The sequence below is a fragment of the Homo sapiens genome, chromosome 13, assembly GCF_000001405.40.
Source record: "Homo sapiens chromosome 13, GRCh38.p14 Primary Assembly".
NCBI lineage: Eukaryota > Metazoa > Chordata > Mammalia > Primates > Hominidae > Homo > Homo sapiens.
Genome location: NC_000013.11, coordinates 112,940,118 through 112,966,368, shown reverse-complemented (window position 1 = coordinate 112,966,368; position 26,251 = coordinate 112,940,118). Strand labels below are relative to the sequence as shown.

The following is a 26,251-nucleotide window of genomic DNA, read 5'->3' as shown; positions in this document are numbered from 1 at the left end:
GCTCCCAGACAGCCTGGACTGCAACCCAACTCTCCCCAGTCCCCAGCTGCCCCTGGACCTTCCAACACCCACAATTTCAGGAGCTGATTTGTTCAGCTAAGTCTCTCTCTAGCTCTGTCTAGTCTTTATTCTGCCTTAAATTATAGCACAGATGATGCCATCTTTCCATAAACATCATTTAATACTTGCCTAAAGAACGATTGTCACCATTACACCTGGCATTAGGGAGCACTAGGCGCTCCAGGTACCTGCCAGAGTGCTCCCCATGCTGTAAACTATTGGTCTTTACAGAGAGCTGGGAGAAGGCACTGTTTTTCGCGTTTTACAGAATATGCAGAGAGGTTCAGCGACTTGCCCCAGGCCACACAGAGGCACAAAGATGCAGACCTGTGGTGTCTGCATCGGGGACGCCTGTAGTGTCGTGAGGGGAATGGCATCCACAGAGTTCCCGACAGGTAGACCCAGGACACTTAGGTAAGGTCCCAAGCCGTGTGTCCCAAGGGATGGGCTTCTTTCCATCCCTGGCTCGGCCTCTCTCCCGGGAACCAGAGGCGCCCCAGGAGGGAGGCTGAAGGTAAAGCGACACCTGGATACCAAACATCCTCATGGCGACCTTTCTGGATGATCAGCCACAAAGCGGAGGTGAGAAATGGGAGCTGGAGCAGGCAGGGCCAGGCTCCCAGAGCCAACCCCGAGGCTAGGGGAGCAGGGCTATGGAGTGGCACAGTGGCCCCGGCCACAGAAGGGCAGGCATAGGTGTTTCCTGCACAGCCTCACTCCATGTCTTGGGAGGGGTATCAGAGAGGGTAGAGACTGGAAAAGGACTGTGAGGAAATTCACAAGCTCATTGTGACTGGGAGAGCCCCGCGGGACAACACCCAGCATGTCAGGGATGCACTGGAGCCGTGGCCCCAGAAATCTGGAAACGAACCCTCGATTCCGGACAACCAGGGCTGGCTCTGAGGTGCAGCACTGAGCAAGGCTGGTGACTCCTGCGTGCCCAGAGCTCATGCTGCAGCGGAGGTGACATGGCACCTGGGTATGTGACAGCCTCCATGTGGTGACGGGAGGGCACCTGCTGGCACCTCCCCCTCCGGGGCCAGTGTGACGTGTGAACAGGTCCCTGTGTCCCAGCAGCAAGCAGGTCCTGGTCCACACACGGACGACTGAAGGACTGCACTTCTGAAGTGGGGGACAGGGAGGGGAGGGGCAGGAGAGGAAGGAAGAGGAGGAGCTGCTGGACTTCTGACTTTTTTTATGGCTTTGCCCAGCAAGGAAGTCTGGAATTCACATTAACATAAACTATAAACGCAGAATCAGTTGATGAGGACAGTTAGTGAGGAGATGGTCTTTTGGGGATAAAATCTGGCAGGATTGCTGACCTGGACTCTGTCATCTAAAGTTCTCACACAAATGACCATTACGTTGTGATGCATGAAACAAGTAACTTAATATGTATTTTTGTCTGAGTATAAAATCATTGTGTTCACTTTGGAAAATATAGAAAATAAAAATAAAATATACTTTAACAGCATCACCTAGAGGTCTTTATCCTTCTGATGCCTTTTTATACAAAATTGTAACAGCAATGTCTATTCTTTGTAACAAATTTTTCACTTAAACGTTTTTTCATGATGCTGCTACTCTACATGATTTTAAATAGCTGAGTGAATATTTCCTGGGATGTGTGTTTCAAATTTTAATCAGGTTTTCTAGTGATTCTTGACTGTCATAAACACTGTGGCAAAGAAACACACAGGCAAATCATTATCTCACATCTGATTGTTTCTCTGTGTTAATTTCCTACAAGTAGAGATACAGGACAAAGGGTATGGCTATTTTAAAGTTTCTGAAATCTGTACATGATTTTTATATGTGCCGTGTTATGGTAACATGCATCCACATGAGCAGACACAGGGCGCTGTGGGATTCTGCACCTTGTTCCTTGGCAGGGGTTCCCTGTCGCAGGGAGCATCATGATGGGTTCATGCCATCCTGGGGGCAGCCCGGGTATTGCTAGGATGGGTTTGTTTGGTTAAAAAACAAAAGGCAAACTCACTTAAGCTAGAGACCATTTCTGCATGGTGGGGAGACCTGCTCCTGAGGCAAGAACCACAACTCAAAGCTTGACATCAACGTGGGCAACTGTAGAACCTGGGGTGCCGGGGCTGCCTCAAGGGAACCTCAAGAGTTGTTGCTGTGGGCAGGGGCCATCCGAGGTGGGCTATGCACAGCCCCAGCTGGGCCCCCCCGCCCCCCCGCCCCCTGCAACCCTGCACCGAAGTGCACCTGCAAGTGGACGCCGTCTCCTCCCAGGCAGCCTGGTTAACCCAACCTCTCTCAGTTACATCGAATGTGTCAGAACCCCATCCACAGCCCTTCCAGTGGGGGCTGCAGGCCAAGCCTCTCTGAGTCCCCTGCGTCCTTGGGGTGGAATCTCTGGGGCCTGGAGCAAGTGGGTGGTTGGCGTGGCCGTGCACACTGAAGCCAGTGGAGGAGCCGCCCTGCCTCTGCCAGCTTCTGGGGGGCCAGCACTCTTGGCTGTGGCCCCACCCAGCTGCGAGCCCGTCTCCCTGTATCTCTCCCTGTCTTCCATGGACACCGGTGGTTGGATGATGGTTCCTACTCCAGGGCGACTCCATCTGAGCTCATGCATCTGCAGAGGCAGCGGCCCTACCTCCACATGAGGCCACACCCACAGGCGCTGGGGGTTAGAACTCAACACATCTTTTCAGGGGACGCAATTCTACCCACAATAGCAGGAAAGGGACCAAGACAGGCTATGGAGCAGCAACATGCAGGACTGGCTGGAGACACAGGTGCAGGGAGGTGAGTGGCCCTGGGGACCCCCTGAGGGCCCTTGCTGACAGACCTGAGGTTCCACCTGGTGCCTATCCCAGTCCCCACACAAGTCATTCCCTCCTAGCCATGCCGCGCTGTGGAGTCCTGAGCAAAGAGAGCGCTCTGAGGAGCTGCGGAGGCTCAGTGACCCTCCACCCGCTCTGATGCCAGGCCCCAGAATCCTGGCCAGAAGGAGCACGGTCAGACCCTGCCAGAGGAGGAGAAGGAATCTGCTCCATGGAGAAAGAATTCCTTCAAAAGCAACTTAAGATTCCACGAGACATGCCTGGGCCCCAGTTTGGGAGGAGGACGTGAAGAGACAGCGGCATTCCCTGCTGAGAGTGGTGGAGGTGGGTGGGAGCCACGGGCCCTTTCAGAGGGGACGTCTGTGCCCAGGGCAGAGCCGAGCCAGGCATGAGAGAAGGCTGCCATGACAGATCTGGCACCAGCCTGGAATATTCCAGAACCCCTTCGTCCACCTCCCAGAGCTCCAGGCCCAGACAGGTTCTCACCCACGGGACCCACCCCTTCAAACACCTTTTAGCTGCTCAGAGAGGGGAAGCACACCCCGCATCTGGACAGGCCAGATGCTTGGTCAGCAGTGGGTACCTACGGGATTCTTCCTGGAAGAGCCAAAATGAAGGCAAAGATGCCTGGATTCTGGGTTCAGCAAACTACTGTGTTGAGGGCATCGGCTGCCTGGGGGGCTCCCCTTCTGCCTGTACCCTGGAGAAAGGGGCAGAGCCGGTGCACACGGGGGGCTCCTTCCTCATACCCTCTCTGGGTAGGGGTTGGGGCCTTCCCTCCCAGAGCCTGGGGGGAGGTCCCGGGAGAACGGCTAGGGAGCTGGGGCCTTCAGGGGTTTTGCTCCGGAGTTAGGCCTGTGCTTTGCCCAGCAGCCCTAAGCTGAAGGAGAGGGAGTGCCTGATTGCTGCGGTCTGGGCAAGAAGGGTCTGTCCATGCTGTCAGGTGTGAAGGCTGCACTGGCCAGGGACCAGGCCTGGGCACCAGGGATGTGGCCACCAACTGGGTCGGCTAGAAGTGAGGCCCACCCCCATGGCTGGCTCCTCACAGCACAGCAGGCCCAGCCGACACCACACAGGGACCGCAACCCACCAGCACATGCAGGCCTCCGAGGAGACAGCACCACCTCACTAGATGGAAAATCCACATGTGTGTTTGTATGTGTGTGTGCAGGTGTGTATGTGTATGTGCATGTGCCTGAGTGTGTGTACATGCGTGTGTGAGCATCTGTGCCTACATGTGTGAGCATGTCTGCATGCAAGTGTGTGTGCATGTGTAAGTGTGACTGTGTGCAAGTGTGTGAGCATGTTTGTGCATGCGTGTGTGTGCATCTGTGCATGCACAGGTGTGAGCATGTCTGCATGAAAGTGTGTGTGTGCATGCATGTGCGTGTCCGTGCGTGTGTGTGCATGCCTGGGTGTGAGCGTGTTTGTGTGTGCATGTGTGTGCGTGTCCGTGTGTGTGTGTGCATGCCTGGGTGTGAGCCCATGTGTAAGCGTGTTTGTGTGTGCATGTGTGTGTGCATGTCCCCTCGCTGTGCAACGGAGAAGCTGGCGCAGGCAGAAACTGGAGGAGGTGGGTGAGTGAGGAGCAGAGCGGGAGGGTGGGAGTGAGGGTGAATGAGTGGCCTCTCGTGGTCACAGCAAGGCAGGAGGCCCCTCTGATTCCGTACCCCAGCAGGCCATCCATCAGTGGCCTCTCCTGGGCTGGGGCGAGGACTCAGTGTCACAGGAAGCACCTTCCGGAAGGACCTGAACTAGGAGGACAGAGGGGCTCACTGAGGGTGACTGCAGCTCCCGGGAAGTAGCAGTGGGGATGCCCTCAACAGCCCAGCTGTGTGTGTGGCCACAGACATGGGAAGGAGGGCTGCAGGTCCCGGCCAGGCCATGGCAGGAAGGGCCTCGAGAGGGGTGGGCTCTGGCCTGGGCCTGGGACCCCACACCAAGCCCACAGCAGCAGGAAGGGAACGGCAGGGCCAGTCCCACCAGGCCTGACCATGTTCCCTGAGGAGGAACCAGAGCTCCTCAGATTTTAGAGGAAGACTTGAGGCCCTGTCCCCCAGCCCTGCTGCACGATTACCCCTGGGGAACCAGGCATCTCCTCGCAGGGCCAACCGAACCCCAAGGCAGAAGACTGCTCGTGGGAAGGCAAATGCTTGCCCAAGTACAAAGCAGTGAATACCTGCAAAGATCACTCGACACTTTCAAATTAGTGCCCAGTTGTATTTTATTATAATGACAATACAATAACAGCAGAGTCACTTCATCACATTTTGTATTATTTTAAGACTTGGTATATGCAGAAAGCTTAGCAGCCCGCATCTTCAGAAGTCTTCAGGGCTCTGCCGTGTGCTCACATGGACACACGTGGAGAACAGGTGCAACGTGGAGGCATAGCAGATGCAACGTGGAGGCATAGCAGACTCCCCTTGGTAGGAATGCATGGGAAGAGCAGGGTCAGGGAGGACCCCAACATCCCTGGAAGTGTGTGTTTTGATGCCTGGTCACTGCAGCCCAAACACTGGAGGCCCCTCAGGGGCCCCCACTTGAGCTGCGGCACGGCCTGCAGTCACTCACGGTAGAACCTGGGCCCCCACGTACCACAGAGAGCCATTGGGGGCTATCCAGGAGATCCAGGGTCATCCCAGGGTCCTTCCAGCAGGGCAGCAGGAGGCTCAGGCAGGGAGGAGATGTGAGGATGGATGTAAGGGTCTGGGTGGTGCGGCCATGAGCCCAGGAATGCAGGCAGCACCTGGGGCTGGACAGGGCGAGGAAAGGATTCTTCCTGGAGCCTCCAGAAGGGACTAGCCCTGCTCACACCTTGGTGTTAGAACTTCTGGCCTCCAGAGCTATAGACCATGAATGTGTGTGGTTAGCCAGTGTTTGCAGTGATCTGTCAACTGCAATAGGAAACTGACACAGCCCTGGACACCGAAACCCCAAAGCCCCCCTTCCCCAGAATGACAGCCTATCCCGCCCCCTTGGAGAGAAACTCCAGCATCCATCACACCCACATTTCAATGCAACAACCAAAATGAGCAGGGGACAAGGCAGTCTGCTGGGGTTTAATGTGTCCCCCAAAGGTCGTGTGTGGGAAACCTCACCCCCAATGCCGCCGTGCTGGGACATGGGGCCTAAGAAGAGGTGACCAGGTCTGAGGACCCTGCCCTCATGACTGGACGAGCGCTGTTTCAGTTGTGAGAGCGCGCTTGGCCCCCTCTCGGTCTCTCCGCTCTCTCACCGGGTGAGGCCGTCTCTTGGAAAGACGCAGCTCAGGGGCCCTCACCAGATGCAGCCCCTCAATCTTGGGCTTCCAAGCCTCCAGGACCATGAGCCAACTAAACTTCCATTGTGTGTAAATTACCCAATCTGTGATACTCTGTTATAGCAGCAGAAAACAGACAAAGACACAGCCCCTGAGGGCAGGCGTCCGGGACAGAAGGCCTCTGCCCTGAAGTTACCGAGGGACCTCGGTGACACAGGCACCTCTGCCGCAGCCCGACGCGTGAGAACAGAGAGAGGGCTCTCCCCACACCTGCAGGAGGTGCTGCTGCCGTCACAGACAGCACAGGCCACAGCGTGTCCACTGTGCATCTCCCATGATGGAGACAGGCACGACCATTCAGAAAGCCTCGTGAGCCTGTGTGCACTCCAAATAGTCTAAATTCGGTTTCCAGCACCGGTGCGTTGCTGCTGTGGACACACCATGCCAGGCCACTGTGCAGCTTGGTTGTCGTGGGTGTGTACTGCACGTGGGTTGCTACCAATAATTCACTTTTGGGTTTTGACATCCCTCTTGCCAACAGATATTCCCCCTCTGTCTATGCTAGAGGAATGAGATATTCCCTCTAATAGGGAGAAAATCTAACCTAGAAGTCAAACGCATGGAAACATGGAGAATACCTTTGAACAGCTCAGACCTAGACAGCCATGGACAGTATCCTCCTGTCCTATTGTTCTGTATGCTGCCAGGAGTTCTCCCCCCAGGATGACCCTCCTCCCTCACTGCAGGAACAAAGCACACTGTGTTCTCGAGAAGGAACAGCTTCCCAGAGAGAGGAAACCCCTAAACACCGAGGCCGTGCCAGAGAGTAAGGAGAACGCGCTTGTTCTGAAACAAAGGACCCACTGATGTCACACCATGTCCGAGAAACTCTCGATGAGAGCCCCAGATGGCAGGATGTATAATATAAATATAACTGACACGCCAACTGCTGGGGCCAGAGTGGAGAGACCCGGAGGACGGGGGGTGGTGAGGGAGAACGATATGAGGGTGATCCCAGCACAATTCATTAAATTCTTTCTAAAAGAAAAACTAGAGGAAAAAAGCATATGGTATGTCTTGAACAAGCAGAATTGGTAAAAACAAGACTTTAAAAATTAAACTGGAACTTTTCAGATAAAAACCTCTAGGTTAACATTTATCCGCAATACCACTACCAGGCATTTGGGATGCGACGCTCATTCTGTGCGTACGGAAGTTTCTGGAAGAGGCATAGCGGCCACAGGAGACCTCTGCTTTTCCTGCAGGACCCCGGTGCTCTCCGGGGGGAGGTGCAGCCATCCTCCCGCCCAGGATTTGCTTCCACGGCAGCTTCTGTGTTCACGGCTCTCCCACGAGCCATCCAGACCCTGTGCGGGAGGGTCTCAAAGAAGTCACCTTGAGCCTCCAGGTGCTCTTAGCCCCAAGGCAGAACCTGGAATCCCACCAGGAGGTGCCTGGCACACGTATCCCACACACGAGCAGGGCTGGGGGCATTCCAGGCCTGAGGAGCTGCATGAGGAGAGGCCCCAGGGGTAATGAAGGCACGGGAAGTAACAAACCCTAGGAGACAGCAAATGGTCCATGCGGTCAGCCTGGGCGTGTGCCAGGCAGGTGGCCAGGAAGGAATGATGCATTTCAGGGAAATGAGGAAGGTGAGTCAGGATGCAGCCTGGTCTTTGGTGGGTCAGGGGTCAGCCTGCTGAGGCCCCAGCCCCCGCCACCCAGTCCCACCCTCGTCGGGGGCTGTGCGGGTGTCGTGTGGATGTGGCTGATTAACACCTGCGGTCAGCTGGCTCCGAATGGAGCATGTGCCCCTCCACAGTGGGCTGGGCCTCATTCAATCCCTGCATGGCCTTAAGAGAATAGGACAGGGTCCCCCGGAGAAGCGGACACCTGCCTGCAGACTGTCACATGGAAATCCTGCGTGGGTCTCCAGCCTGTGTCTGCACTACTGAGGTCAGACATGCCAGCCGCACAATTACATAAGCCAGCCCATGACACGGGGCACAGACGAACCACGCACGTCCACGCATCTCCTAAGGTTCTGCTTCTCTGAGAATGCAGCAGGCCTGGTCTCGAGAGCCCAGGAAGAGCTGAAAGTCTTTATTTGTTGGCACAAGAGGCATCAGGGAAAGAGAAACACCTCAACAAACTGGCATCTGAGGAAGACTGACGGCGACAGCTGGGGAACGTCCCAGGTAAGGGAGTCAGAAGAGTTGGATGCTGAATGAAGAAATTTTAGGAAAATCTAACCAAGTTATTTTGCTTAGCTTCCCTTTGTGTATATACAACACTGATAGCAAAAATCTGAATAAGGCAAATAGAGCTCTTTAAGTATAAAATAAAAACTAAGTGATAAAATTAAATTCACTTTCTTTGAGTTGCTCAAAGCATTATTCTAAATGAAATGTATGTTAATTCACTTCACAAAAGTCATCCACCAAAGCAGAATTCCCACATTAGGATACACAAGGTGGAAGAAGAGACTACAAGGGTCATAGGTTAGAGGTAACTTAAGTTATAAAAACCCATGAAAATGAGATATTGTAATAAAAACACACACACAGAAAAGTATGTAATACATGAACCATATTCTACTTCATGAACAAAAAAATCAATAAAACAAAAACCTGACTGGAATAAGACCTTGAAACAGCACGACTGGCCACGTCTATCTGGCGTCTATCTGGCGTCTATCTGGCGAGGAGGCGCGGCATGGAGTCCAGGGTGGAAGCCCAGCTCACGTGGCTCAGGACCCCGGGGCCTCGGCCTCTCATCTGCAAACCAAGATTAAACTAGGGCAGTAAGATCCTAAATCTCTATCGTTCTATGAAGAAAGTGGGCCAAAAAGTCCAAAGCCTCTACAGTTTGGAGACATCACAGCTGACTGCTGCTGACTGATGAGCACACATGTGAACTCCATTTCTGAAAATACTGCGTCCTCTAAAAGGAAACCAGGGGCCCCAGAAAATGCCAAGCATTGACCGCCTGTGCTGCGATGGCATTTGTAAGAGCAGCCCCTGCTGAGCTGAGCGTACTGTCTGTGAGCAGCAGGGGCCGGTAGGGGAGGATTCTCCCATTTGTGCAGTTCAGTTAGAGCTCTCCAGGGTCACGTCAACAGATAATGCACCATTATCCTTTGCTCTCGGGGGCGGCCTGTAAATAAGGCTCTGCACACAAAATCACAAAGGCATCACAAGAACGACACGCAGTAGCCACTGTTCCTCAGCAGCCATGAGGTGGGCAGAAACACACACATGCTTCTAAAACATGCACCAATGGGCAGAATGTGACCAGATCTGGGTATTGAATGCCTTCCTGGCTGTAAGTAAGGCTTGGTTTACTCGGAGCTGATGAAATCCAGAGATGTCATACGAAATGCATGTAGAGTTTGATAGGAAAACCTCATCGTGTGTCCCGGTCAGGAGAGTTTAAGGAGTGTGAGAGTGTAGACACAGCAGGCCTGGATTCCCAGCAGACCTGGCCTCAAAGTGGACAACCTCGAGGCTGGACCTGGATGCGCCTAGCAGGGCGTCACCTATGTGGCCAACCTCGCTGCAGCAGCAGCAGCTGCTCCACACAGGTCTGCATCCGGCCACTGTCCCAGCAGCCTGAAAGCCGCAGCCACTGGCAGGGAGCTGTGCACTGTCCTCCAGCATCCTCTGAAAACTCTGCCTCCTCATCATCCGTGGGCCAGACGCTTCCAGCATTGCTCGATTTTAACAATGAATTTTATAAATTTATAAATGCATAAATATATCAGGGGTCCTGTTATACTAGCAGTGGATCTCTTTAAACAGTGAGGTTTCAGAATGTCATTAACACTTAATTCTCAGAACAGTATTTTCATGAGCCTTTTTCAGGCCATATTTCTTGATGTTTTGGCTCTAAAAAGATGATCTGGGTATAGAACAAATGCAGGTCTTAAGTATGATATTTTTTAAAAGGTGAAACATTTTCTTTTTTTAACCTGGATCTCTGGCAAAAAGAAGCTGCTGCATTGAAATTTAGCTGCTCCCTTGACTCCAGGACCCTCCTGCCACTCCCGTGCCTGCGCCCAGGCTTTGCGGCACAGACCGGCCTCTGCGGACCAGGGATGCCCTCCCAGGCCAGCCCTACAAGCACGGCTCTCGAGGAACAGCCCACGCCACGGCCTCCACACAGTTTGCCATTTTGGCTCTTTGTTAATCACGCCTCCTGGGAAAAAAGAAAACTAAATCAATACTCTGACATCCAGACTTGATTTCTACGTTCCAAATACTGAAAAGAAACCAAATGAAAAGCCAGAGGGAAGAATGCCTCTGGCCCCTGGGTATGGCATCCATCCTCCGGGACTAAATGCAACGTCTAAATGATGGCAACCTGAGCTGACGTTTATTCTCCAGCGTTTCTGGGGATCTCCTGGATATCTGTATTTTAAAGGCACCCACATTCAAGATGTGTGTAGGTGGCCACTCTCCGACAGCAGACAAGCCCTCGGTCTTAGCTTCCACATTCAAAGCTCACAAAATGCTGAGCGCAGGGGCTCTTTTGGGGAATGGAAACAGCCTCCAGCGCAGTCTGCCTTATGGCAAAGGGGTTCAGAGTTTGGGTCCCAGAGTCACCTGCCTGGGTTCCAATCCTAGTTATCAGGGGGTGACCTTGAGGGAGTTACTCAATCTCTCTGCCTCAGTAGCCCCATCTGTAAAATGGGGTCACAAAGTCCCCACCTTGTGGGTTATTTCGAGGATTAAATGCATATAATTGATTTGAACAGTAACCGGGCATGTGGTGAGCAATAAATAAATATCAGCCAATGTCACAACGTTCAGACAATCAGAACCTGAACACAAAAATGGGCCATGGAAATAGCCACACCCAATCAGACCCATCGGGTGCGGCTCCCATGTCTCCGTTTGCTGGTAGCTTCCTGAGGGGCTGCTGGGAGCCTCTGGCTACTGCCTAAGGGGACCCAGGACGGAGGGCTGGGCTCCACTCATCCTGCTCTGATGCAGGTTTAGGACGTGTGAGGCCTCCTCTGTGTCAGACACTTCATGCTGGGGACCCAGCACTGAGCAATGGGACGGGGTCCCCACCTCATGAAGCCCCTCACTCCTCTCCTGCTGCCTCAGGCAGCTTTCCCTCGGGTCCCTGAGTCCCCAGAGAGGCTACGCCTGGGACCAGGGTCCCGGCCATGTTGCCCGTCACTCAGCAGAGCTCTGGAGGTCTGATGCATGCAAGTATCCATGTCACCAACGGCACAGCATCTACATTAAACTGTGGCTGCTGGATTCCACTATAGCTGGGACCCTGCAGCCACAGCCATCGTGACCAACTCGCCCTAAACAGCATGAGTTCCCATGGCTCCCACAGGCCCCCCAGGTGCTGGACTTGCCCCACAGGTGACAGCAGGAAGGTGTAGCACACAGAGCTCTAAATATTCAGGATTGCTTTTCTCTTTTCACAGCAAAGCAGCGACTAGGAGCACCTGCTATTTACACAGCAACGTGCCAAGCTCCATAAAGAGTGCAAAAAGCACCCCAGAGGTCCTGGAGCAGCTGTTCTGCACCATGGGGCAGGTTAGAGCCACTGGGGCTGAAAACACCCTGAGCCCACCCATGCCCCCTCGGGAGCCAGTCAGAGCCCAGTGGGAAGAGCCCACTGAGGGCCATGCCACAGAGGGAGGCTCGCTCCAAGCAAAGCAGTCATTCCATGCAAACCCTCCTCTGGTTTCACCCTATGAACTCCACTAAGGCCAAGGGATAGTGAAGTTAAATGAGGAGGGAGTGAAAATGACCGCAGGTCCTCCACATCGCAATGGGAAGCAGGGCATCAACAGCACGTCAGGATGCAGCTGGCAGAAGCCGGGGGTGCTGCCTCCTCGAGGTTTCAGGAAAGGGTGGTTGCCTCGGCCACTTTCCAGCCCCAGGAGGTGTCCTGGAGCAGGGAGGAGGGGTGTGGACAGGTGAGAAGGCTCAGCTGAGAAAGCCCAGGACAGTGCTTGGTGGGCAGAGCTGGGCACACTTTCTCTTCCAATGTGGCTTTGTGTGAGGCCTGGAAACAGGAGTTCCAGGGAGACAGAGCAGGCCCCAGGCTCCAGGCCACCTCCCCTCTCCTCGGGTGACAAGACAAGTGCATAGCAAGTCCCAGGATGAGTGCACATTCCACAATGGCCTCACCTCACTTCGCAACATCAGGCACAAGATCAACAATAAAATGACATTCTGAGGGCAGTGGTGCACAAGCCAAGCCCAGCATGCCACAGCGTTCTCAGAGCAGACAGTTCCGTTGGCCACACAGAGACCCTTTTCCCAACCTAGACACTCATATGCGACCTGGAAACATGCAGGGGGAGGAGAGGTGAGGCAGCGAGTGCCCACAGCAGGGCCCTGGCAGCCTCCTCGTCTTCCCTGCCTTTGCCGTCTGACCCAGCCCCTACCAGGTGGCTGAACGCTCCTGTCAGGCTGGGGTCTGGCTGGGGTCAGGCTCAGCCCCAGGTCTGCACTTCCCCTGGGCAGGGAGGGCTCTGACGCAGGACCAAGGCAGGCCTGGCCTCAGGTGGCTGGGAACCCAGGTCAGCTGGGGGCAGACAAAACATAGACTGAGCTGGTCTCCTGCCCAGGCCTCTAGAACCACCGGCCACAGGTGAAGTCTGCAGGCAGGATCTTTCCCACCCCTGCTTTCTGCCTGACCCTTGTTCCTGTCTCTGCAGAGGTAAATTACGTGGAACAGAGCAGGCACTGTGGTCTTCGAGCTCCCAACACCCTTGGCAGATCTGTGGCTCCGTGCATACCGGTTAGCTTGTTTTTGAGAGGGGAGCGGACACCATATCAATTCAGCACCAGTGACCACCTCTCACCGAGGAGCCCCTCCCCGCAGCTGTGCTGTTGTCTGGGCCATGTTCCCTGGGAGCTCCTTCAGTGAGAAGGGGGCCAGGCAACCCCACCCACCCTTTGTCCATGGGGGCTGGAGGAGGAGGACGCCAAGGCTGACACAGTTGTCAGATGGCCAGAGCTTCCCCACATTCCTACAGAAAAGCAGACCTGGAAACGTACCTTCCAGTTCACCAAGAGCACACCAAGTAAATACTGATTCCAAAACACGGCTCCAAGCAAGGAAGGCCTGTATTTATTTAACTCTTGAAGTAAACAGAGGCCATTCCATTTCACTCTCTCCAGGAGGAGTGGGGCCCAAGTCCAGGCCACAGGACAGAGGATCACCCAGAAGCAGCAGCCCTCGGGCCCATCCCATTTAGACCTTCTGAGAACCAACTGCCCCCCGTGTAAACAGTCCATTCCAAAAGTGGGCATTTAGTGTCGCCTGCTTTGTGGCTGATCACACGGGGCGCCCCGTGTTCTCTCTGGCCAGTGGCTCTGACATTTTGATGGAGAGGAAGCTGGAACAATGGACACCCTGGGACCATAAAACGCTAGGTTTTGGGAGCTCCAGCACAGTGAAACCTGAGTGCTGATGCAACTGATGCTATGTTCCTGCTCCACATGACTCCAGTCCCAAACAGCAAATGCTGGGGACATGCCAGTTTCTAGTTAGCTGGTGTTCATTGCCCTGTTTAGAAATTTACTAATAGTAATGCATTTACCCTTCATTTTATTGCTTATTTTCAACTTTCAGATTCTCCCCACCAGATATGCCCCAAACAATCCACAAACTATTGAAAAGATAAGGAGAAGGAAGGCAAAGTTATTCAGATTCTAAACCCTTGGGGTCCTCATTTTGCCAAGAGGATCCGGTGACTGGTCTGTGGGAGACCCAAACATTTGAAGAAAACGGAGATTCCTCCTCACCTCTCCTTTAGAAGGAGGTGGTTGGCAGGAAACTGTGATGCAGCAAGTTCACGATCACATTGGGATCCCCAGAAAACAAACCTGCCACTTGAAGCATCCCTGGGCCACCCACACCCACCTGGCTGGAGGGAGGGGTGGGGCTGCAAGGTCTCTGAGCCTGAACCAGAGGAGGCTTCAGTCCAGGCTCACAGAGAGCAGGAGGGAGCCCGAAGCACAGTGTAGCCTGCTGCCTTCCACCTCCCTCTGCCCGGCTCTGAATATTTAAACACACCCGATTCAACCTTAGAACTGTTAACTTATTCAAGCCTTAACTGGGAGGCAGTGTTTCAAAGGCTCAACACCAAGGTCACTGAAATTGAATTAACCTACTTTGACATCTATTTAAACTTTTAGATCTGGACCTGCAAATCTGAAGCAAATATTGATTTTAAGTCAGTCAAGGTCATAATTCCCTAAAAGGAAAGCCCTTTTCCCTCTTCCCACTTCACGTGATTCTACATATTGGTAAAGCCCTTGTAATGCGGTGCGTGTATGTGGGTTTGTTGACAGAGAGTGAATAGGTGTGAACTGATTTTTCTTGCTTTAGATAACTGTAGGTTCACATGCAGTTGTGAGAAACAGTAAACAGAGGTCTTGTGTACCGTTTTCCTCCAGGGGTAGCATCCTGCCAAACTACAGCACACGACTGCAGCCAGCATACTGACAATGACGCAGCCAGACCTGGGCTGTCTCTACCCACAGGACCCTCTTGTGGCCCCTCCTGGACACACCCATGTTCCTCCCAGATCACCCCTCGTGGACCCCCCACAACCACTGAACTATTCTCCACAGCTACACTTTTGCCATTTCAAGAATGTTATGTAAATGGAATCATACAGTAACCTTTTGGAATTGGCTTTTTTCACTCAGCATAATTCTCTGGAGAGTTCATCCAGGTTGTCACAGGTATCAATAGTTCATGGTGCGGACGTACAATTTAACGTTTCACCCACCAAAAGACATTGGGGTTCTTTCCAGTTTTTGACTGCGACAAATAAACGAATATAAACATTCATATGCCTGTATTTATGTGCACATAAATTTTGATTTCTCTGGGATAAATTCCCAGGAGTGCAATTGCTGGGTCATATGAGAGTTGCATATTTTGTTTTAAAAGAAACTGCTAAATTGTTTTCCAAAGTGGCTATACTATTTTACATTCCCACCAGCAACTTAGGAGTAACCCAGTTTATCCACATCCCTGCCAGCATTCGAAGTTGGCACTATCTTTTATCTTAGCTCTCCTGAGGGTGTGCAGTGGTACCCAGGTCTTGCACTTCTCCACTGGCTACTATTGACTGACACCTTTCCGTGTGCTCTTCTGCCCTCACTGTGGCATCTTTGGTGGAATGTCTCTATGTCTGTTGCCCATTTTCTAAGCGAATTGTTTGTTTTTGTACTGGTGAGATTTGAGATTTCTTAATCCTTTATCAGCTATGTGGTTTGCACATATTTTCTTCAGTTTGTAGCTTGTCTTTTCATCCACTTTGCAGGTGCTTTCACACAGCATAAGTTTTCAATGCTGGTAAGGTCGAATCTATCATTTTTTCCTTTTATGGATCATGCTTTTGGCATCAAGTCTAAGATCTCTTTGTTCAGCTTTAGGTCCTAAGTGTTGTCTACTATATTTTTTCCTAAAACTTTTATAGTTTTATATTTCATGTTTAAATTTGTAGTTCATTGTTAGAACTTATCATTCTAATATAAGGTGTAAAACTTGGCTCATGGTTCTTTTGTCTCCCTGTGGACATCCAATTACTTCAGCACTATTTGTTGAAAAGACTATCTTTCTTCCACTGAATTGATTTTACATCTCTGTCAAAAATCAGTTGGGCATATTTGTGTGGGTCTGTTTCTGAGTTCTCTGTTCTGTTCTATTATCTGTCAGTCTGCCCAGGACCACACTGCCCTGATTACTGTGGCAATAATAAGCCCTAGTATTGGGTAGAATGATTCCTCTCATCTTATTCTTCTTTTTCAAGACTGATTTAGGTATTCTAGCTCCTCTGACTTTCCATACAAATTTTAGGATAATCTTGACTATACCTACAAAAAAAATTCTGTTGGGATTTTGATAAGAATTCTGTTCATCTGTTTGAGGAAAACTGACATCTTTACTATATTGTGTCTTCCAATCCTTGAACATGGTATGCCTCTCCATGCATTTAGATCTTCCTTGATTTCTCTCATCAGCATCATGCAGTTTCCAGCACAAAAGTCTTGTACATATTTGGGTGAATTTACACTTAAGTGGTTTTTTTTTGTAATTTTAAATGGTATTGTATTTTTAATTTTGGTGTACATAATTTTGGTATTTATGCTCTACAAAGAAAGACAATTGACTTTTCTATGTTTATCTTGTATCTTGCAACCTTTTTGAACTTGCTAGCTTTAGGAGTTTTTTTTTTTTTGTAGAATCCTTGGGATTTTATAATCAGATGATCATGTCATCTGTAACCAGAGACTGTTTCAATTATTTCATTCCAATCCATATGCCTTTTATTTTTCTTGATTTATTACACTAGCTAGAACTTCCAGTACAATGTTGAATAAAAGCGATGAAGGCAGACAACCTTACCTTGTACCTGATATTATGGAGAAAGTATATAGTTTTCACCATTTAGTGTCATGTTAGTTGTGGGTATTTTTTGTAGGTAGTCATTAATAAGTAAGACGGTCCCCCCCTCTACTCCTATCTGTCCTAGAGTTTTGTTGTTTTTTTTTTTAATCATGAATGTGTGTTAAATTTTGTCAAAGACTTTTTCTGCACTGGTTGACATGATTATATGATTTTTCTCCATTAGTCTATTAATATGGTAGATTACGTTGACTAATTTTCAAATATTGATCCAGCTTTGCATCCTTGGTATAAACCAAAACTTGGTCATGGTGGATAATTCTCTTTATCTATTGCTTAATATATTTACCAATATCTTGTTATGGGCTTGTGTGTTATATTCATGAGGGATACTGGTCACTAGCTTTCTTTCTTGTTTTTGTCTGGTTTTGGTATCAATGTAATACTGGCTTCATGAGATGACTGAGAAGTATTGCCTCCTCCTCTATTTTTTGGAAAAGATTGTGTAGAATTGGTGCTAATTTTTTAAATGTTTGGTAGAATTCTTTAGAAAAACCATCTGGGCCTGAATGTTTCTTTATTGAAATTATGAATTCAATGTATTTAATAGCTATAGGGCTATTCAATGATCTACTTCCTGTTGGGTGAGTTGTGGTAGTTTGTGCTTTTTAAGAAAGTAGTCCAATTTGTCTAAGTTATCAAATTAATGTGTATACAGTTGTTTGCAGTTTTTTCCCTTATTATCCTTTTGATATCTGCAGAGTCTGTAGTGATACCTCTGGGGAGTCTTGCTCTTTCACCCAGGTGGGAGTGCAGTAGCACAATCTCGGCCCACTGCAACCTCCGCTTCCCAGGTTCAGGCAATTCTCCTGTGCCTCATGAGTAGCTGGGACTACAGGTGCATGCCACCACGCCTGGCTAATTTTTGTATTTTTAGTAGAGACGGGGTTTCACCATATTGGTCAGGCTGGTCTCGAACTCCTGGCCTCAGGTGATCCACCCACCTTGGCCTCCCAAAGTGCTGAGATTACAGGCATGAGTGACCATGCCCAGCCACTTTTCTGTGTTTTATTTCATTGATTTCAGTTATTTCCTTCCTTCTGCTTTTCTTTGGGTTTATTTTGCTCTTCATTTTCTAGAGAGGTAGACAAGAAGTTCTTGAGGTAGAAGCTGAGATTGATTTGAGACTTTTCCTATTTTCTATTGCATGCATTTTAGTGCTAAAAATTCCCCTCTCAGTACTGCTTTAGATGTGTTCCATAAATTTTGATATGCTGTATTTTCATTTTCTTTGTTACAAAGTGGCAAAAAACTTGACTGAATTGTGTCCATGTCCTAGGACTTTGTGGAAGGCAGAGCTTAAGAGTGATGAACTAAGATAATTTGGCAGAAGAAATCTCTAAGCAGCAAAGTATTCAGAATAGTTTTCCTTAACTGCTTATGGTAAAATTTGAGAACAGAAAATTATTTAAGGACAAAATTTATAATTAAAAGGGAAGCAGAATATAAAGATTTAAAAATTCTCAGCTTGGCCATGTAAAGAACAACAAAGAGTATTTAGGGAAGAAAACCAACAGTGTGGCCTACTTTCATAAGATTAGTATGGATTGAAGGAAGCCTGGTGTTATTCATAAAGATTATGGACTAACGGCCCCAAGGGCATTTCGGAGATCTTCAGGGTTGCCATGCCCATCACAGCACAGAATAGTTTAGGGAGAGAAGCCCAGGACACCCATGCAACCTCACTGCCCACAGCCATCTGAGGTCTCTATTCTCCACATTCTGGCACAGCACTCCTTGGTCACACAGCTATGGCTCAGGTGTCCAGAGGATGCAAGCAGTCATCCTTGGCAGAGTCCACGTGGTGCTAATTCTGCAGGCACACAGAGTGCAAGAGCTGTGGGGGCATGGCTTTCTCCTCCACCCAGACTTCAAAGTATGCTGTGGATAGCCTGGGTGCCCAGGCAGAGACTTGTTGTAGGGACAGAGCCACCACAGAGAGTCTCCACCAGGGCAATGCCTAGTGTAGCTGCGGAGGTAGGGCCACCCCTGAGACTCCAGACCTACTGAGCCACCAGTGTGTAGCCCCAGCCTGGGAGAACTGCTGAGGTGAACTGAGCCCAGCAACCCCTGGGGGCAGGGCTGCCTGAGACCTGGGGTGCCCAACCCCACCCCAGGGTGTCCAGAAGGTGGGGCATGGAGTCGAAGATGATTCTGCAGCCTTAAGATTTAATGTTGTTTGCCTTGTTGAGTTTTGGACTTACTTGGGGCCCGTTACTCCCTCTTGCCTATTTTTCCTTTTGGAAGGGAAATGTCTGTCCTATGCCTGTCCCACCATTGTACTGTGGAAGCACAGAACTTGTGCGATTTCACAGGCCCACGGTTGGAGAGGAACTTGCATCAGATGAATCGTTCCTTGAGTCTCAGTCACACCTTATTTAGAGGAGACTCTGGAATTTAGATTTTTGAGTTGGTGTTGGAATGAGCTAAGACTTTTGGGGTATTGAGATGGAATAAATGTATTTTGCATGTGAAAAGAACATGCATTTTGGGGAGCTGGGGGTGGAATGCTATGGTTTGTATGTGTCCCCTCAAAAATCACACGTTGAAACCTAATAGCCAATGCTGTGAACAGGCGGGGTCTTTGGTAGGTGGTTAGGACAAGGGCTCCTCCCTAACAGAGGCTTCACTGGCCCTCCTGCCTTTCACCCTGTGATGCTGGCTCCTTGATCTTGGACTTCCCAGCCTTGGGAACCATGAGGAAATAAATTTCTGGTTTTAATAAATTACCCAGTCTGTGATGTTTTGTTATAGGAGCACAAACACACCACAGTAGACAAGCCCTGCGTTTAGGACGCACGAGACCAAAAGAAACCCTGGGAACTCACCCTGCCACTGCTCCCTGGGTCCTCAGGCCCGTGACTATTCTGCCTCCTCCTCCCCCCCTCAGAGTTGTCCTGTGTGTGCTTCCTACATTGAGTCCAGGGTTCTTTGTTTTACTCTTGGGAAGAGCAAGAAAAAGTATGTCTGTTCCACCTTCCTGGGATGAAGTCTTTTGTGGGTTAGTTTCTAAAGTAAAGCCACGGGATACGCATCCTCACAGTGCCTCTTCTGACTACGAGTCCTAAATACACCCTTTATTCAGGTTCTGTATCTGAATTCATTCAAAAGGAAGTCCTAAGACAACAAGGAGTGTTAGGTGTCAGTTTCACCACCTAAGAGGAAAACAATGACCTTGAGGAAACCTCATCTGTGACACCCATTTTCATCACAGCAAAATCTCAAGGGGGCTGGATCAGCAGACACAGAACTCTAAGTCCCTCTGAGCCCTCTGGAATACAACCCTGACTTGTCTTTGTAGTTCCCACTTCCAGCCCATTTGTACAATGTTTAATTTCCTATAGTAAGGCATGTACTTCAATATAGGTTTTAAAAATTAAACAAAGCAATACGTTTACCACAAGGTATCTAGCTACTGATTATCTCATGTGGGTCACAACCACATGTGTTTTATTTATTTAGGGATTAAAGTTACTATAGTTTTTTTTTTTTTATCAGAAAGGGAGAAACATTATCTTTAGTCATATGTATTTCTTGGAGGATCTTGGATAGTTTTAGTCAGAATACTTTGGCAGGGTGGCAAAATGATGCTTCCTACATAAATTTTGACATTTCAAATAAAAAGATGATAAAGTGAAAAGTGATTTAAAAATTTTAGCATGAGTTATCAAAAGCTCTAGAATTTCAACAAATACAAATGGAAGAGAGTTTAAAATTTCAAAGACAAATATTCTCAAAACATGATACCCCAGAAGAGCCCGGGCTGGCGTGCTGATGAGCTCAGGTTTCCGGTCTGAACACGCAGCAGCTCCTCACCTGTCTGAAGCCACATGGAAGCCACAGGGACAGTCCCAAAGAGAATAAGAAAATTAGAAGAATAAAGTACACGGCACAAACCCATCTCTCCATGGGCCCCTCCTCATCAATTCACCATCTACATGTTACTTTTGTACATCTATGATGAATGTCAGTGCCAACCCAATTATTGCTTTTGACAACCACACTTACTGAAGGTACAGACTGTGCCAGGCACACTTTATCATTCTCCCACTAGACAGAACCGCCATGATGCAAGATGCCATCCCATTTCGCAGACCAGGGCATGAGGCCATGTGAGCATCCAGGCTTGTCTCCCACTCACTGTGTCTTCCTGCTCAGCAGGGCAGGAACTGCTGCTCAAGGTCAAAAAGGCATCCCAGAAGAATGGTGCCATCACTGCAAAGCAGTGACTACTTTAAACAAATCTCATAAAAAAAGATCCCAAAGATAGTGAATCAAAATCATTTCTTTATATAATAAGCACTTTAAAAAACATTAATAGACTTTATATTTTAGAGCAGTTTTGGGTTTTACAGAAAAATTGGGCAGAAAGTACAGGGAGTCCTCGTATACTCCCCCTCTGCCCCACTTCCTTCCACAGTTATTATAACTTCTTGCATTGGTGGCCCATACATTACAATTTGATACATCATTACTAACTAAAGCATATCGTTTACTTGAGGGTTCATGCTTCCTGTTATGCAGTTTTAGGTCTTGAGAAGTGCATAATGTCATGGATCATGCAGAATAGTTGCACTGCCCTAAAACTCCCCTGTGTGATAAACACTTTTTAAAATCAAAAAGGCAATGGAACATTCTGTATGACACTGCAATGGTAGATATGTATATAGAGCACCAAGACTGAGCCTAAACAGCAGCTCCAGGCAGGACCCCACTCCCTTCAGGGCCCACCCTGCACCATCTTCCTCAAATGTTTTATACAAAAAAAAAAAAAAAATAGTGGTGCCTAATTGGCATTGCATCGATTTTCTTAAGAGCCAGGACTAACACAAAGTGATTTCAAAGCTTCCATTAGGACACCATGAACACTGGGCCCACGGTGGTGGCATCAGGCAGACCTTGCTCCCTTCTGCACAGAGCTTGCAGAGAAAGCCCAGGCAAGTAGGGTGGAGGGCCTTCCCTAAGAGGCTGGCTCTTTCAGAAGTTCAGGTTTGGCCGGGCGCGGTGGCTCACGCCTGTAATCCCAGCACTTTGGGAGGCCGAGGCGGGCGGATCACGAGGTCAGGAGATCGAGACCATCCTGGCTAACACAGTGAAACCCCATCTCTACTAAAAATACAAAAAATTAGCCGTGAGCCGAGGTTGCGCCACTGCACTCCAGCCTGGGCGACAGAGCGAGACTCCGTCTCAAAAAAAAAAAAAAAAAAAAGTTCAGGTTTAGCGGGACAGGACTGACAGATTGACAGCTCTTCTGCGGCTTAGCACTGGTGGTGCATAGCATTCCTGGAACGCATACTAGGAACGCGACCCTTGAGCAGGCGGCATCCCCCAACTCCACAGAGAGACCCAGGTGTTCACCCAGGCCAGATGGAGCAGTAACAACGTCTGTGCTGCCCCGAGACACCAGAGCACACATACGCTGTAGGGATTGGCCCAGTCTGCGAACCCCACTCATGACGGGGCCAGAGCAATGGATTCCCAGTAAATGAGGGTCATGAGCTTGCTCTTCACCCGGGACCCTCCCTTCATGGCCCGGGACCCTCCCCTCACAGCCCAGGACCCTCCTCTCACGGCCCGGGACTCTCCCCTCACAGCCCAGGAGCCTCCCTTCATAGTCCAGGACCCTCCCTTCACGGCCTAGGATCTTCCCCTCCCCTCACGGCCCGGGACCCTTCCCTCATGGTCCGGAACCCTTCCCTCAGCCAAGACGCTCCCCCCACAGCCAGGGACCCTCCCCTCACGGCCTAGGATCCTCCCCTCCCCTCAAGGCCCGGGACCCTCCCCTCACCCGGGACCCTCCCCTCACGGCCCGGGACCCTCTCTGCGCCCCTGGCCCGCAGGGCTCAGCTCCTCAATGCTGGTCTGAGAGGCCCGAGAGCGTCTCCCTCTCAGTTCTCAGTTCTCGGGGCCGCGCTGTCCCCGCTGCCACCGAGATCCCCTCACCCCGCCTACTACGCCTCCCGCCAGGTCCTTCCGGTCCGCCTGAAGTCTGTGGAGGCTTCCAGAAAATGCTCCCAGATCTCCGCCGGCCCGAGCCGAGCCACCGCAGGCTGCTCGGGCTCCCGGCGGTGTGGTCCCTCCAGGAGGGAACTGCGAGCGCTCCCGCCTTCCCCGTCTGTCCCCGGGTAAGGGACTGGCCGGCAGGTCCCGCCCCCCGCGCCTCCTCTGCGCCTGGGCGCCTGCACGGGGCCTCCTCCTTGAAAGGCGCGGAGTCTCGGCTCTGGCTGCGGTGCTGCAGGCGCAGCCTCCCTGGAAGGCACCGCGCCGGGAAGAGCGGCCCGTCTCTCAAAGCCCGGGCCGCCGCGCCCCGGCCCCTGCAACCAAGGCGGCGCCTCTCCCGGGCGCCGGCGCCCTCCGTTGGGCGTTCACGCCTGCGGCGCGGAGCCGGGGACCGGGAGCTGGGAGCCGCCGCCCTCCCCGCGCCTGGGCTCTGCGGCCGGGGGCCCTAGAGCTCGACCGCGACCCCCCAACCACAGCCTCGGGAGTGGGGCGCACAGCGTCGGGACTCAGCACAGGCGCCGCGGGCACAGGCGTGGCCGCCCCACCTGTGCCAGTGGGAAACATGGTGAGGACAGAAGTCCACTGAGGGCTGTCACCTGCGATCCTTTAAGTCACACCTGCTGAGCCCTAGGCTGGATGCTCCTCGCAGCTGTTTCTGACAGCCTTCACCTCAAAGTTTACCAGGTTTTTGCTAGAAATCTCTCAGGCCTCTCTGAGCGCCTTCCTGGCTCTGCATTTCCATTTCTTCCAAATGGCATTCCAAAATGTCCCCATTATCTTCACACACCATATCCTTTGGACACATGTCAATCCTAAATACAGAAGGAAAAATGGAACAGCAGCTCACGAGGGTGCTGTCCCACCTTTCCTGCCCAACAGCACCCTCTGCTGGCATGTGGGGATGGTGCGGAGAAGGACTTAGTAGGACATGGCCACGCCTACCAGGTGGGTGGAGAGAATGTTAAGTCACCCACAATAGGGGAGCAGAACCACATCAAGAGATGTCCCTGCCTGCACCCGCTGCACATTCCTGCAGGCAAAACTTGGTTACCTGCATCTGAACTCATTCACTTCGTTTTACACGTAACTAGACAGAGTTTTTTTACTAATTTAAAACTAGACTAGATTTTCTTAGAATAAATTATTGTGTAAATCAGACAGGTGGACTGTAGGGTCCAGCCCCACAGGGTCAGTGGGTTTTCTCCCCGTGTGTGGAGACGAGAGAGTGTAGAAATAAAGACACAAGACAAAGAGATAAAAGAAAAGACAGCTGGGCCTGGGGGACCACTACCACCAAGACACGGAGACTGGTAGTGGCCCCGAATGCCAGGCTGCACTGATATTTATTGGATACAAGACAAAGGGACAGGGTAAGGAGTGTGAGCCATCTCCAATGATAGGTAAGGTCATGTGGGTCACATGTCTACCAGACAGGGGGCCCTTCCCTGCCTGGCAGCCGAGGCAGAGAGAGGAGAGAGAGAGACAGCTTACGCCATTATTTCTGCTTATCAGAGACTTTTAGTACTTTCACTAATTTGCTACTGCTATCTAAAAGGGAAAGCCAGGTGTACAGGATGGAACATGAAGCGTGACCACTGAAGCACAGCATCACAGGGAGACGGTTAGGCCTCCAGATAACTGCGGGTGGGCCTGACAGACCCTCCACAAGAGGTGGAGGAGTAGAGTCTTCTCTAAAATCCCCCCAGGGAAAAGGAGACTCCCTTTCCCGGTCTGCTAAGTAGTGGGTGTTTTTCCTTGACACTGACGCTACCGCTAGACCATGGTCCGCTTGGCAACGGGCGTCTTCCCAGATGCTGGCGTTACCGCTAGACCAAAGAGCCCTCTGGTGGCCCTGTCTGTGCATAATAGAAGGCTCGCACTCTTGTCTTCTGATCACTTCTCACTATGTCCCCTCAGTTCCTATCTCTGTATGGCCTGGTTTTTCCTAGGTTATGATTGTAGAGCAAGGATTATTATAATATTGGAATAAAGAGTAATTGCTACAAACTAATGATTGATATTCATATATAATCACATCTAAGATCGATATCTAGTATAACTATTCTTATTTTATATATTTTATTATACTGGAACAGCTCGTGCCCTTGGTCTCTTGCCTCGGCACCTGGGTGGCTTGCCGCCCACAGTGGACCATGGTTTTAGGAACTTTATCCAGAGGTTTTGCAATTTCAGAAAACTCCATGACAACATCAAGGCTGTTTGTGAACTCGATCACCTGACATCCACACCTGCGCCCGCCTACACCTGTGTTGACTCAGGATGCTCCACACACAGTGTGCTCAATACTAATAGATTTACATTTTACTGTAAGTTATTTTCCTTTTACACCTAAAGGAAATGTACAAGGAATTTTATTTCAAATAGAAATTATATAATATATTCAAATATATATATTTTGATATAATTTCTATTTGAATTATATATAATATATAATATGAAATATATATATATGGCTTATGGGCTTCCAGAGTGCCACCACACACACCACACAGACCTGTACCCTGGGCTTTGTGAACAGGACACATCCCAGGAACTATGTTTCTAAAGCAAACCAAGATAGCACCAAGATAAAACAAGGTGGCATTACGGGCTGATGACCTGAATTTTTGTAGGTTACATTTTTATGTGATAAGCACGATGGCCACTCTGACCCTGCGGAAAAGATGGTAAAAATATGCTCCCTATGGTGGTGCCAGATGCAGCGGGGCTGCTAGGTGGATTTCACATCCAGAGCCCATGTGTCTGATTCACTCACTCTGGGCTTCATGCTCCCAGGCAGTCCTCTTCCAGGACTGTACAAGGAGGAGGGTGGGCTCAGCGATCATGACCCCAGAGCAAAGAAAGGTGCTGGCTGCCTTCTAAATCACATGCCACCCAAATGCTGGGGTCTGCGTAGGTAGCTAAGTAACTACAGAGCAAGCCCATGAAGATGTGATTTTTTTTTAAGTGCTCATGAAATGAACCATTGATATTTGGCATACATATACAAATATGTGCACAGTGAATACATTATGCCATTTTTGTAGCTATATTTATGTTTATAATAATACACATAAAGCTATACAGAAGATTGACTGCAAAACAATATATTCTAACTGCAAAAACTGATTGAAATGTACACGTACATTTACGAAAAGATTCATATTCAAGTGTTGGCACACGAGGTTTCAAAGTCAAAATGGAAGTTGTCTATTTTGCCGTGTCCCTGAAACCCACTGAGAGGTGACCCACATAGGCAGCGGGTAGGGAGCTGGGCCAGGCGGTACACAGCCGGCAGCGCCTCAGGGCCTTCCCCGCCCCACCCGACCACGGGAAGTGACTGCCCACAAGGCCATCTGGCTTGCCTGGCGCCCCCGGAATTCTGCATTCAGTTCCATTCAAAGCCTGGGCACCTTCCCCGTGCTGGCACTGGAGATGCATTCATGAAACTCCCTGTCTCCAGACAGATGAGACAGTGAAATGAACAACTAGAGTTTCTGGCGGTGTCCAAATAAACCAGTTACAAATTACTTATCATAAAACACAGATTTACATGAAAAAGTATCAAGATGTTTTTAAGGACAAAATATTTATTATGAAAACAATGAGAAATGAAATTCTTGCGTAAGGAAACTGACGCACCTCAACATTATAGAGGGAC

At 50.2% G+C, this 26,251-nt stretch overlaps 1 protein-coding gene across 6 annotated transcripts in view, besides 8 other annotated features; it reads right to left on the bottom strand.

Moving 5' to 3' along the window:
- Positions 1–26,251, bottom strand: part of MCF2L (MCF.2 cell line derived transforming sequence like) — a 205,408-nt gene that overhangs the window by 133,374 nt on the left and 45,783 nt on the right. The gene's annotated exons all lie outside the window — the stretch shown is intronic.
- Positions 2,357–3,078: an enhancer, noted in NCBI's record as "H3K4me1 hESC enhancer chr13:113617605-113618326 (GRCh37/hg19 assembly coordinates)". NCBI's record gives its function as "activates a minimal SCP1, AML or CMV promoter by ChIP-STARR-seq in naive H9 embryonic stem cells {active_cell/tissue: H9 hESC(naive)}" and the evidence as "EXISTENCE:reporter gene assay evidence [ECO:0000049][PMID:30033119]".
- Positions 4,525–5,248: an enhancer, noted in NCBI's record as "H3K4me1 hESC enhancer chr13:113615435-113616158 (GRCh37/hg19 assembly coordinates)". NCBI's record gives its function as "activates a minimal SCP1, AML or CMV promoter by ChIP-STARR-seq in primed H9 embryonic stem cells {active_cell/tissue: H9 hESC(primed)}" and the evidence as "EXISTENCE:reporter gene assay evidence [ECO:0000049][PMID:30033119]".
- Positions 7,970–8,710: an enhancer, noted in NCBI's record as "H3K27ac-H3K4me1 hESC enhancer chr13:113611973-113612713 (GRCh37/hg19 assembly coordinates)". NCBI's record gives its function as "activates a minimal SCP1, AML or CMV promoter by ChIP-STARR-seq in primed H9 embryonic stem cells {active_cell/tissue: H9 hESC(primed)}" and the evidence as "EXISTENCE:reporter gene assay evidence [ECO:0000049][PMID:30033119]".
- Positions 8,711–9,450: an enhancer, noted in NCBI's record as "H3K4me1 hESC enhancer chr13:113611233-113611972 (GRCh37/hg19 assembly coordinates)". NCBI's record gives its function as "activates a minimal SCP1, AML or CMV promoter by ChIP-STARR-seq in naive H9 embryonic stem cells {active_cell/tissue: H9 hESC(naive)}" and the evidence as "EXISTENCE:reporter gene assay evidence [ECO:0000049][PMID:30033119]".
- Positions 9,451–10,191: an enhancer, noted in NCBI's record as "H3K4me1 hESC enhancer chr13:113610492-113611232 (GRCh37/hg19 assembly coordinates)". NCBI's record gives its function as "activates a minimal SCP1, AML or CMV promoter by ChIP-STARR-seq in naive H9 embryonic stem cells {active_cell/tissue: H9 hESC(naive)}" and the evidence as "EXISTENCE:reporter gene assay evidence [ECO:0000049][PMID:30033119]".
- Positions 12,514–13,231: an enhancer, noted in NCBI's record as "H3K27ac-H3K4me1 hESC enhancer chr13:113607452-113608169 (GRCh37/hg19 assembly coordinates)". NCBI's record gives its function as "activates a minimal SCP1, AML or CMV promoter by ChIP-STARR-seq in naive H9 embryonic stem cells {active_cell/tissue: H9 hESC(naive)}" and the evidence as "EXISTENCE:reporter gene assay evidence [ECO:0000049][PMID:30033119]".
- Positions 14,340–14,634: a silencer, noted in NCBI's record as "tiled region #2656; K562 Repressive non-DNase unmatched - State 22:ReprW". NCBI's record gives its function as "represses a minimal TATA promoter and a strong SV40 promoter by Sharpr-MPRA in K562 cells {active_cell/tissue: K562}" and the evidence as "EXISTENCE:reporter gene assay evidence [ECO:0000049][PMID:27701403]".
- Positions 22,678–22,857: a silencer, noted in NCBI's record as "silent region_5536". NCBI's record gives its function as "represses an Ori minimal core promoter by ATAC-STARR-seq in GM12878 lymphoblastoid cells {active_cell/tissue: GM12878}" and the evidence as "EXISTENCE:reporter gene assay evidence [ECO:0000049][PMID:35858748]".